Source organism: Homo sapiens, chromosome 4 (assembly GCF_000001405.40).
Source record: "Homo sapiens chromosome 4, GRCh38.p14 Primary Assembly".
Taxonomy (NCBI): domain Eukaryota; kingdom Metazoa; phylum Chordata; class Mammalia; order Primates; family Hominidae; genus Homo; species Homo sapiens.
The window spans coordinates 71077880-71090153 of NC_000004.12; the positions used below are offsets into that span (position 1 = coordinate 71077880).

Consider the following 12274-nt stretch of genomic DNA (forward strand, 5'->3'; position numbering starts at 1 on the left):
AGGCAAAAGAATGTCTATCTAGCAAATATACCTAATGGCTAAATATACATTTTTTAGAAAAATCAATGAAAACATATTTATTTAATCAAGTGTGAGTCTCAGGAAAATATATGTACAGATAGGGTAGGTCTTCTTTTCATCCCATTACTTGCAAAAAATCTTGATAAGATAGGATTCTAGAAACTATTAAAAAATATATTCTGTGTAAAAAAGATAGCAGGAGAAAAGAATTGGATGCAGGAGTACTATGGTCTCATAAAGGGATTCTTGAGGTTAACCAACACATTGTGGGCCCTCAAAATGCATCAAACCATCTTTGAATGTACAATTAGCATTCATTCATTCATTCATTCATTATTTATTTATTTGCCAGACATTAGCCAAATGCCCACTAGATGACAGATTTTTTTTTCCATGTAAGAATCCAAAGTTGAATAACAGAGCCCCACTCTTAAGTAGTACATAGCCTTTTTAGGAAGACACATGTACATCAATTAGTAAGTGTAATGAGTTGCTTAGAAGTCTATGCAAGGTGTAGGGGGAAGTGGTAGAGTTTGTTCTGAGAAGAGAATTATCAATTCAAGCAGGCTGGAGTTTGGGAGGAGCATGGGGCATTAGAATCTTGGAAAGGCTTAAGTAAAATATCTTGCACAGACTAAGTAAGAGTTAGAATGATTTTAAAAAAATTGATTAGTGCAACAAAAGAAAAAATAAACACATTGAGTATCAAATTTTAAGATGTTTGTGCTTCAATCTGGGGGCACACTGAGGCCTTCTTCGCTCAGCTCATACTCATTCTAGCTCCCGTAGAACCCCATCTGAGTGCTAGGAAGGGCTCGGTCGTAAAACGATAAGGAGATATTTTCATGAAAATCTCTGGCACATTAGGAGAATAAAGCATTGCTGCTTTGGGATTTGTATAACAGGTGTTTTTTATTGTTTGTTTGTTTTTTTTTTGAGACAGAGTCTCACTCTGTTGCCCAGGTTGGAGTGCAATGGCATGATCTCTGCTCACTGCAACCTCTGCCTCCTTGATTCAAGCGATTCTCCTGCCTCAGCCTCCCAAGTAGCCAGGATTACAGGCATGCATCACCATGCCTGGTTAATTTTTGTATTTTTAGTAGAGATGGGGTTTCACTATGTTGGTCAGACTAGTCTCAAACTCCTGACCTCAAGTGATCTGCCCACCTCAGCCTCCCAAATTGCTGGGATTACAGGCGTGAACCACCACACCCAGCCTTGTATAACAGTTTAACATTGAGGTCATGAATAGTTATTCCCTGCTTTGGTGAAATTGTGACATGCCTCTGGGTGCTTCTCTGGCCAGGCTGTGATCATCATTACCCATGAGACACCTCCTAGGAAGGAGAGAGGGTGTTTGGGGTCTGGTAATGGCCAGGCATTCCTATCGCAAGCCCGAGGCAGGTGAAACATGGGACACATATACAGCAGTGTGAAGGCATCTGTAGCTGTAGAAGGAACACATCCTTTTGTGCTTTGAATTTTAGGCCTGCTGTTTCATTCAAAATCCTAGTCAGAATGATCTCCAAGTATCATCAAACCTTCAAGTACTATGATGACAGGATTCAAATTTCACCAAAAAGAAGTGCTGTGGGCCTGGTGCAGTAGCTAATGCCTATAATCCCAGCACTTTGGGAGGCTGAGGCAGGAGGATTACTTAAGCTCAGAAGTTTGACAACAGCCTGGGCAACATAGCAAGACCCTATCTCTCTAAAAATACAAAAAATTAGCTGGGCGTGGTGGCACACACCTGTAGTCCCAGCTACTCGGGAGGCTGTGGTGGGAGGATCACTTGAGCCTGGGAGGTCAAGGCTGCAGTGAGCAGTGGCTGTGCCACTGCATTCTAGGCTAGGTGATAGAATGAAACTCTGTCTCAAAAAAAAAAAAAGATGTAAAGAAAATGCTATGATTTGCTGATAGAGGCCAGGCTGCCAGCAAGTCATCATATGTCACTGTCTGGAGACAGACTCCCCTGTGAGTGCGGTTTAAGTGTATGCTGAAAGCAGTACGAAGGTATGAAGTATAAGGACTCTTGGGGCTGTGTCCCCCACAACAGAGAAATGCGGGCAAGCAGTTCTCCTGCCCGTGTGCTGCCAGCAACACCCCTCTCTGGAGGGATTAATATATTGATCAGCCTCTGGAGGGTGGTGACCTCTCCAGTGGAAGAAGTCTGGCTAATCCCTTAGTTTCTCTGACAGCAGGTCTGAAAGGATCCTGTTGCCAGGAATCGAAGGCAGTTGTTACCTTGACAGCAGGAGTGCAGCATGCAAGCATCTCTCCTGGTCCCCATGTGATCTGTCACTGCGACGCTATGTGTTTATACCTGTGCAAGACTCCGGAAGGTAGAGACTACCCACGAGTGTCCCATATGCCCTCTCCTGGAGTCAGGGCTGGGTCTACTGGGGTCAGCGTGCACTCTCTCTTTGCTGTTCTCCTAGATGTCAACTGATGGGACCCCTTAAGCCAGAGGCAGATCTCTCAGGGAAGAAGGCATGATTCCTGATATGGGCAAAGTGCTGGGTAAGTAAGAGTGCCTGCGCTTTCAATAAACCAATTGGCTAAAATTCTTCTCAACATAGGGCACATGTAAAAGGATGAGTGTTTTCCCTTCCAAGTGGCCATAAATGTTGCTGGACAATTTTCAGCATCACATCAGAATGGTCTCAGGTGTTTTCCCCATCCCTGCCTTTCTCACTTTGATTATTTTTGTCTTTCTTCATATATTCAAATACTTTGTAAACTAAGGATTGCTTGTGCTAATGGGCTCGTTAGTGTTCTGGGGTGAGTTGTGAGCACTTTTAGACTTGAGGCTAACTCTGGTGACTGTTACTGCCCAGCTCCTCCTCATTTCACCTGGGTTTGTAAGCCCACTAGTCCCTGCTTTAGGTATGCTGTAACCTCATCTTTTATAGTTTCATTCTGTAGACTAAAATTCTAGCTATTACATAGAGTTCCATTTAAAACAGGCTCAGGTATTCCTGTTTATGATTGTTGGTAAATGAAGATATTCTTATCACAAAATACATAAGTGGAAATATTTAATCAGCTGCAGTTTCTTCCTCCACATATCCCCCTGCTTCCTTCCTTTACTAAAACTCCTCTTGGATTCTGTATCTCAGAGGGAGGCAAAACCATCAGGAAGAAAAATCTAATTCAAACTTGTGTTTTATTTTATTATATATTTTTCCTCTGAAGCACAAAGTGTTTCATAAACATGCCATTTTTTCACAGCAGCAAGTTACTGTGACTTGAACATCTCTGCCTTTCCCACCCTGAGAGTACAAAAGCATTCACATCTTAATGGCTCTGCATCTTAGCTACCCATTATGGTTCTTTGTGGAAGTTCCTTTCCTCTGTATATTTGTGGAAATTCCCCCACAAATTGTTTTTCATTTATTCATGCAGAGCCTGGGCTTAGAGCTCACCACTGAGATTCCCAAACTGGGTTGCCACAGATGCCAAAACTGGAACTCTGCTGTTGCTAATGCAGCCAGCTGCAGATCCCAATGAAAACTGTGATGCTGTCACACTGGTCTCACTGCAGCTGTGCTGGTGCTGGTACTCCACACCCCCACCATGGCTGCTTTGGAGTAGCTCTTATCTCAGGTACCTCAGCCAGTGATGCTTTTGCAAAGTGAGAAAAAGGATGTTTCCTTGCTCTACGTTACAGTGATAACAAAGGGTTCTAGAACAGGGTTGGTTAGCCCTAAAGCACAATGAGTTAGATCCCAGAGTGCTTTATTCTGAATTGAGCTGCACTGGTCTTGCTGCAGCCAGAACTACCATTTGGAACTGATCTAGTTGGAACTCTGATGTTGCATCTGTCTTCGAACCCGGGAATCTAGGACTTTGCTACCACCGGCTCCTTCTCATTTGGGATTCCTGCTAATATCTTGGCCAATTCTGTTTTTGAAAATAAAAATAGAATGTTTGTTTCTTTGCTTTTGGGAGTGGTGGGAAGGCTTGTGCCCCAAAGTTTCAGGTTGTGAGACAGCTGTTAATTCATACACACAGGGCTCAAACATATGGCTGGAATGCCTGGGTCCCCAGTGTCTGTGCTATTAGCTGCTAAATTCACTGCCTTTCAACCCTTAGGTTCTTTTGCTAAATGTACTATCCAAATACCTTGCTCCCTTTGGTAAATTTTCTGTTGTCTCTCTTTATATCTTACTTATTTTGCTTCCTCCACTTAATTAGTTGTATATATGTTAAACCTATTTTGGGTCAAGATTTAATTATTTTCCCAGGAGCGTCTGTAGTATCTAGCAATTCAGTTTATTCCGATAGATTCTGTACTATAGGGATGAAGGGGATGAGTTCTCTTATTCTGCTTAACTTGGATGTATCTGAGTCTCAGCTCCAACCTAGCCGAAGCACTCTGCATTTGCAGCCAGTTATATAGTTCAAGTTTCAAACACGTTATTTGCAAATAACTGTCCCCCCCACCACTATAGAACACTCTATCCTCTCACCATCTTCCTTGTCTTCCTACTCTCAACTTAACCATTACTTTGACGTCTTCCCCCTCCCTTGCCTGCCTGCTAGAACAGCCACCAAATTGCTGCATGTTCTTGGTGTTTATCATTGGTTGGTGCAGGGAACTCTTCCATCAGTGTCTTTCCAATGGTCTTCTCTTTCCTCAGGAGAAGAGTATCTATTTATCTATATAAAACAATCAGAAAATTATGTTGAGAGAAACTATTTCAAACATTGGGGAAACAATAGAGATTAATATAACAATACCATGTAGCCACCACTTACATTTAGTAAATGTTAACATTTTCCCATTTTGCTTCAGATTTTTTGAAATCAATACATTACAGATACAGTGACAGTGTGTGTATGTAACTCCCTGAGTCATCTATTTACTTCTCCCTAGCCCATAACTCCCTAGGTCCTCTAGAAATAATCATTCATTCCTGAAGTAAGGATTTTTTTCTTCCCATAATTTTCTTTTTTTTTTTTTTGTTGGAGACAGAGTCTAGCTCTGTCACCCAGACTGGAGTGCAGTCACAGGATCGCGGCTCACTGTAACCTCCGCCTCCCAGGCTTAAGGAGTTCTTGTGCCTCAGCCTCCCAAGTAGCTGGGATTACAGGCGCATGCCACCATGCCCAGATAATTTTTGTATTTTAGTAGAGACGGGGCTTCACCATGTTGGCCAGGTTGGTCTTCAACTCTTGACCTCAGGTGATCCACCTGCCTCGGCCTCCCAAAGTGCTGGGATTGCAGGCGTGAGCCACCATGCTCAGCCCCCATAAATGTTTTAATACATTTTATATAAGTGCATATGCCCAAATAATTATTTAATATTATTTTATGGGTTTAAAATTTAAATGTATGATAGCATTCAGTGCATCACATTTTCCAACTTGTTTTTTTTTTCATTTAAACTTAAGTTTTTTAGTTTTTTTTCCATGTTCATACATTAGATGTAATTCATTCATTTAAACTACTGTAGAGATTATATTTGAGACTCTACTCATTTCTCAATTGATGGGGCCAATAGCTACTTTAAATTCCCTTTTTTCCTACTCTTCCAACTCTTGCCTTATTACCTCTGAAAAATTTCATTACTCCTTCCTGATTCTGATTATTAAGGTAAAACAGAAGCTGTCTTACCTTATTTGTCTCCAATGTTGAATGAAATAAACTGATACCTGAAGTGACAGACAGGGCAGCTAAAGGACAAGAACAGACTCCAAAGTTATGAGCCCTGAAACGATGACCTGAAGATGCTCTAAGGGTTGATATGAGGTTGGTGGAGATGCTGTGCCTGGGACAGCAAGAGCATGGGGCTCTGGGGTAAGACAATCCATGCTTGAATTCCAGCTTCACTCCGTTCTAGTTGCTTGAATTTTTCTCTAAACATTTTAATCCCCGCCCCCCGCCCCCACCAGTCTCAAAGTCCTAATGGATAGTTTATGGAGTTGTTTTGAGGGTTAAATGAAATAATTCATATAGAACTTGTAGTGCATTGCCTGGCACATGGTAAGCATTCTGCTCATCTTTGTTATGGTTATTCGCTTAGCTGAATGCAGACACTTCTATTTTGGTAGTGGGATCTATGTAAGATCTACTTCTGCCTCTTGGCTGGAGCTGTCTCTCTCTCTCTCTCTCTCTGTCTCTGTGTGTGTGCATTTATGTGTGTTCAAAAAGGGATGAGGAGGGACTAGCTACAAAGCTCTTATAACCATGAGCTTATATGGAAGACCATCTCACTCCTGCTTCAAAGGCAAGATGGACTTTTTGATGTGTTGAGGATTCGATATTAATTCAAGGGAATTGTTCAATATCTTAACATCTTCTAAGAGCATTATTAATAATCGGATGTAAAGATCGCCTTGAAGTATAGTCTATAATAATAACTTGAATTATTTCACTACATTAAACACAATTTTAAATGGTCTTTTCATATGTATGTTTCAACTTATCTGCAACCTCCACGAACCTATTCAACTCCCATTTAAACCCACACCAAATGACAGTTTTTTAAATTGTATTTTATTTTCTTTTTTATTATACTTTAAGTTTTAGGGTACATGGGCACAATGTGCAGGTTAGTTACATATGTATACATGTGCCATGTTGGTGTGCTGCACCCATTAACTCGTCATTTAACATTAGGTATATCTCCTAATGCTATCCCTCCCCCCTGCCCCCACTGCACAACAGGCCCCGGTGTGTGATGTTCCCCTTCCTGTGTCCATGTGTTCTCATTGTTCAATTCCCACCTCTGAGTAAGAACATGCGGTGTTTGGTTTTTTGTCCTTGCGATAGTTTGCTGAGAATGATGGTTTCCAGCTTCATCCATGTCCCTACAAAGGACACGAACTCACCTTTTTTTATGGCTGCGTAGTATTCCATGGTGTATATGTGCCACATTTTCTTAATCCAGTCTACTATTGATGGACATTTGGGTTGGTTCCAAGTCTTTGCTATTGTGAATAGTGCCACAATAAACATACCTGTGCATGTGTCTCTCTAGCAGCATGATTTATAATCCTTTGGGTATATACCCAGTAATGGGATTGCTAGGTCAAATGGCATTGCTTGCTATAGATCCCTGAGGAATCGCCACACTAACTTCCACAATGGTTGAACTAGTTTACAGTCCCACCAACAGTGTAAAAGTGTTCCCATTTCTCCACATCCTCTCCAGCACCTGTTGTTTCCTGACTTTTTAATGATTGCCATTCTAACTGGTGTGAGATGGTATCTCATTGTGGTTTTGATTTGCATTTCTCTGTTGGCCAGTGAAGATGAGCATTTTTTCATGTGTCTTTTGGCTGCATAAATGTCTTCTTTTGAAAAGTGTCTGTTCATATCCTTCGCCCACTTTTTGATGGGTTTGTTTGTTTTTTTCTTGTAAATTTGTTTGAGTTCATTGTAGATTCTGGATATTAGCCCTTTGTCAGATGAGTGGGTTGCAAAAATTTTCTCCCATTCTGTAGGTTGCCTGTTCACTCTGATGGTAGTTTCTTTTGCTGTGCAGAAGCTCTTGAGTTTAATTAGATCCCATTTGTCAATGTTGGCTTTTGTTGCCATTGCTTTTGGTGTTTTAGTCATGAAGTCCTTGCCCATGCCTATGTACTGAATGGTATTGCCTAGGTTTTCTTCTAGGGTTTTTATGGTTTTAGGTCTGACATTTAAGTCTTTAATCCAACTTGAATTAATTTTTGTATAAGGGGTAAGGAAGGGATCTAGTTTCAGCTTTCTACATATGGCTAGCCAGTTTTTCCAGCACCATTTATTAAATAGGGAATCCTTTCCCCATTGCTTGTTTTTGTCAGGTTTGTCAAAGATCAGATAGTTGTAGATTTGCGGCATTATTTCTGAGGGCTCTGTTCTGTTCCATTGGTCTATATCTGTTTTGGTACCAATACCATGCTGTTTTGGTTACTGTAGCCTTGTAGTATAGTTCAAAGTCAGGTAGCGTGATGCCTCCAGCTTTGTTCTTTTAGCTTAGGATTGACTTGGCAATGTGGGCTCTTTTTTGGTTCCATATGAACTTTAAAGTAGTTTTTTCCAATTCTGTGAAGAAAGTCTTTGGTAGCTTGATGGGGATGGCATTGAATCTATAAATGACCTTGGGCAGTATGGCCATTTTCACGATATTGATTCTTCCTACCCATGAGCATAGAATGTTCTTCCATTTGTTTGTATCCTCTTTTATTTCCTTGAGCAGTGGTTTGTAGTTCTCCTTGAAGAGGTCCTTCACGTCCCTTGTAAGTTGGATTCCTAGGTATTTTATTCTCTTTGAAGCAATTGTGAATGGGAGTTCACTCATGATTTGGCTCTCTGTTTGTCTGTTATTGGTGTATAAGAATGCTTGTGATTTTTGCATATTGATTTTGTATCCTGAGACTTTGCTGAAGTTGCTTATCAGCTTAAGGAGATTTTGGGCTAAGACGATGGGGTTTTCTAGAAATACAATCATGTCATCTGCAAACAGGGACAATTTGACTTCCTCTTTTCCTAATTGAATACCCTTTATTTCTTTCTCCTGCCTGATTGCCCTGGCCAGAACTTCCAACACTATGTTGAATAGGAGTGGTGAGAGAGGTCATCCGTGTCTTGTGCCAGTTTTCAAAGGGAATGTTTCCAGTTTTTGCCCATTCAGTGTGATATTGGCTGTGGGTTTATCATAGATAGCTCTTATTATTTTGAGATATGTCCCATCAATACCTAATTTATTGAGAGTTTTTAGCATGAAGGGTTGTTGAATTTTGTCAAAGGCATTTTCTGCATCTATTGAGATAATCGTATGGTTTTTGTCTTTGGTTCTGTTTATATGCTGGATTATGTTTATTGATTTGCATATGTTGAACCAGCCTTGCATCCCAGGGATAAAGCCCACTTGATCGTGGTAGATAAGCTTCTTGATGGGCTGCTGGATTCGGTTTGCCAGTATTTTATTGAGGATTTTTGCATCGATGTTCATCAGGGATATTGGTCTAAAATTCTCTTTTTTTGTTGTGTCTCTGCCAGGCTTTGGTATCAGGATGGTGCTGGCCTCACAAAATGAGTTAGGGAGGATTCCCTCTTTTTCTATTGATTGGAATAGTTTCAGAAGGAATGGTACCAGCTCCTTCTTGTACCTCTGGTAGAATTCGGCTGCGAATCCATCTGGTCCTGGACTTTTTTTGGTTGGTAAGCTATTAATTAGTGCCTCAATATCAGAGCCTGTTATTGTTCTTTTCAGAGATTCAACTTCTTCCTGGTTTAGTCTTGGGAGGGTGTATGTATCGAGGAATGTATCCATTTCTTCTAGATTTTCTAGTTTATTTGCATAGAGGTGTTTACAGTATTCTCTGATGGTAGTTTGTATTTCTGTGGGATCAGTGGTGATATCCCCTTTATCATTTTTTTTTGCATCTATTTGAGTCTTCTCTCTTTTTTCTTTATTAGTCTTGCTAGCAGTCTATCAATTTTGTTGATCTTTTCAAAAAACCAGCTCCTGGATTCATTGATTTTTTGAAGGGTTTTTTGTGTCTCTATCTCCTTCAGTTCTGCTCTGATCTTAGTTATTTCTTGCCTTCTGCTAGCTTTGGAATGTGTTTACTCTTGCTTCTCTAGTTCTTTTATTTGTGATGTTAGGGTGTCAATTTTAGATCTTTCCTGCTTTCTCTAGTGGGCATTTAGTGCTATAAATTTCCCCCTACACACTGCTTTGAATGTGTCCCAGAGATTCTGGTATGTTGTGTCTTTGTTCTCATTGGTTTCAAAGAACATCTTTATTTCTGCCTTCATTTTGTTATGTACCCAGTAGTCATTCAGGAGCAGGTTGTTCAGTTTCCATGTAGTTGAGCGGTTTTGAGCAAGTTTCTTAATCCTGAGTTCTAGTTCGATTGCACTGTGGTCTGAGAGACTGTTTGTTATAATTTCTACTCTTTTACATTTGCTGAGGAGTGCTTTACTTCCAACTATGTGGTCAGTTTTGGAATAGGTGTGGTGTGGTGCTGAGAAGAATGTATATTCTGTTGATTTGGGGTGGAGAGTTCTGTAGATGTCTATTAGGTCTGCTTGGTGCAGAGCTGAGTTCAATTCCTGGATATCCTTGTTAACTTTCTGTCTCATTCATCTGTCTAATGTTGACAGTGGGGTGTTAAAATCTCCCATTATTATTGTGTGGGAGTCTAAGTCTCTTTGTAGGTCTCTAAGGACTTGCTTTATGAATCTGGGTTCTCCTGTATTGGGTGCATATATATTTAGGATAGTTAGCTTTTCTTGTTGAATTGATCCCTTTACCATTATGTAATGACCTTCTTTGTCTCTTTTGATCTTTGATGGCTTAAAGTCTGTTTTATCAGAGACTCGGATTGCAATACCTGCCTTTTTTTTTTTCCATTTGCTTGGTAGATCTTCCTCCATCCCTTTATTTTGAGCCTATGTGTGTCTCTGCACCTGAGGTGGGTTTCCTGAATATAGCACACTGATGGGTCTTGACTCTTTATCCAATTTGCCAGTCTGTGTCTTTTAATTGGAGCATTTAGCCCATTTACATTTAAGGTTAATATTGTTATGTGTGAATTGGATCCTGTCATCATGATGTTAGCTGGTTATTTTGCTCGTTAGTTGATGCAGTTTCTTCCTAGCCTTAATGGTCTTTACAATTTGGCATGTTTTTGCAGTGGCTGGTACCAGTTGTTCCTTTCCATGTTTAGTGCTTCCTTCAGGAGCTCTTTTTGGGCAGACTTGGTGGTGACAAAATCTCTCAGTATTTGCTTGTCTGTAAAGGATTTTATTTCTCCTTCACTTATGAAGCTTAGTTTGGCTGGATATGAAATTCTGGGGTGAAAATTCTTTTCTTTAAGAATGTTGAATATTGGCCCCCACTCTCTTCTGGCTTGTGAAGTTTCTGCCGAGAGATCAGCTGTTAGTCTGATGGGCTTTCCTTTGTGGGTAACCCGACCTTTCTCTCTGGCTGCCCTTAACATTTTTTCCTTCATTTCAACTTTGGTGAATCTGACAATTATGTGGCTTGGAGTTGCTCTTCTTGAGGAGTATCTTTGTGGCATTCTTTGTATTTCCTGAATTTGAATGTTGACCTGCCTTGCTAGATTGGGGAAGTTCTCATAGACAATATCCTGCAGAATGTTTTCCAACTTGGTTCCATTCTGTCTGTCACTTTCGGTACACCAGTCAGAGGTAGATTTGGTCTTTTCACATAGTCCCATATTTCTTGGAGGCTTTCTTCATTTCCTTTTATTCTTTTTTCTCTAAACTTCTCACTTCATTTCATTCATTTGATCTTGCATCACTGATACCCTTTCTTCCAGGTGATCGATCGGCTACTGAGGGTTGTGCATTCGTCACATAGTTTTGTGCCATGGTTTTCAGCTCCATCAGGTCCTTTAAAGACTTCTCTGCATTGGTTATTCTAGTTGGCCATTTGTCTAATTTTTTTTCAAGGTTTTTAACTTCTTTGCCATGGGTTCGAACTTCCTCCTTTAGCTTGGTGTAGTTTGATTGTCTGAAGCCTTCTTCTCTCAACTCGTCAAAGTCATTCTCTGTCCAGCTTTGTTCCATTGCTGGTGAGGAGCTGTGTTCCTTTGGAGGAGGAGAGGCGCTCTGATTTTTAGAGTTTCCAGTTTTTCTGCTCTGTTTTTTCCCCATCTTTGTGGTTTTATCTACCTTTGGTCTTTGATGATGGTGACGTACAGATGGTGTTTTGGCGTGGATGTCCTTTCTGTTTGTTAGTTTTCCTTCTAACAGTCAGGACCCTCAGGTGCAGGTCTTTTGGAGTTTGCTGGAGGTCCAATACAGACCCTGTTTGCCTAGGTATCTGCAGCGGAGGCTGCAGAACAGTGGATATTGGTGAAGAGCAAATGTTGCTGCCTGATCGTTCGTCTGGAAATTTTGTCTCAGAGGAGTACCCGGCCATGTGAGGTGTCAGTCTGCCCCTACTGGGGGGTGCTCCCAATTAGGCTACTCAGGGGTCAGGAACCCACTTGAGGAGGCAGTTTGTCTGTTCTCAGATCTCCAGCTGTGTGCTGGGAGAACCACTACTCTCTTCAAAGCTGTCAGAAAAGGGCATTTAAGTCTGCAGAGAATTCTGTTGCCTTTTGTTTGGCTATGCCCTGCCCCCAGAGGTGGAGTCTACAGAGGCAGGCAGGCCTCCTGGAGCTGTGGTGGGCTCCACCCAGTTCGAGCTTCCTCGCCAGTTTGTTTACCTACTCAAGCCTTAGCAATGGCGGGCGCCACTCCCCCAGCCTCGCTGCCACCTTGCAGTTTGATCTCAGACTGCTGTGC

The 12274-nt window shown here is 41.2% G+C and overlaps 1 protein-coding gene across 2 annotated transcripts in view; it reads left to right on the forward strand.

Moving 5' to 3' along the window:
* SLC4A4 (solute carrier family 4 member 4) overlaps positions 1–12274 on the forward strand; it is a 509424-nt gene that overhangs the window by 15220 nt on the left and 481930 nt on the right. The window contains exon 2 of one of the 2 annotated variants that reach the window (XM_024454268.2): positions 2460–2541. The exons of the other annotated variant lie outside the window; for it this stretch is intronic. The gene's annotated coding sequence lies outside the window, so the exon portion shown is untranslated. The remainder of the gene's footprint in view (positions 1–2459; positions 2542–12274) is intronic. 2 annotated transcript variants of the gene reach the window in all.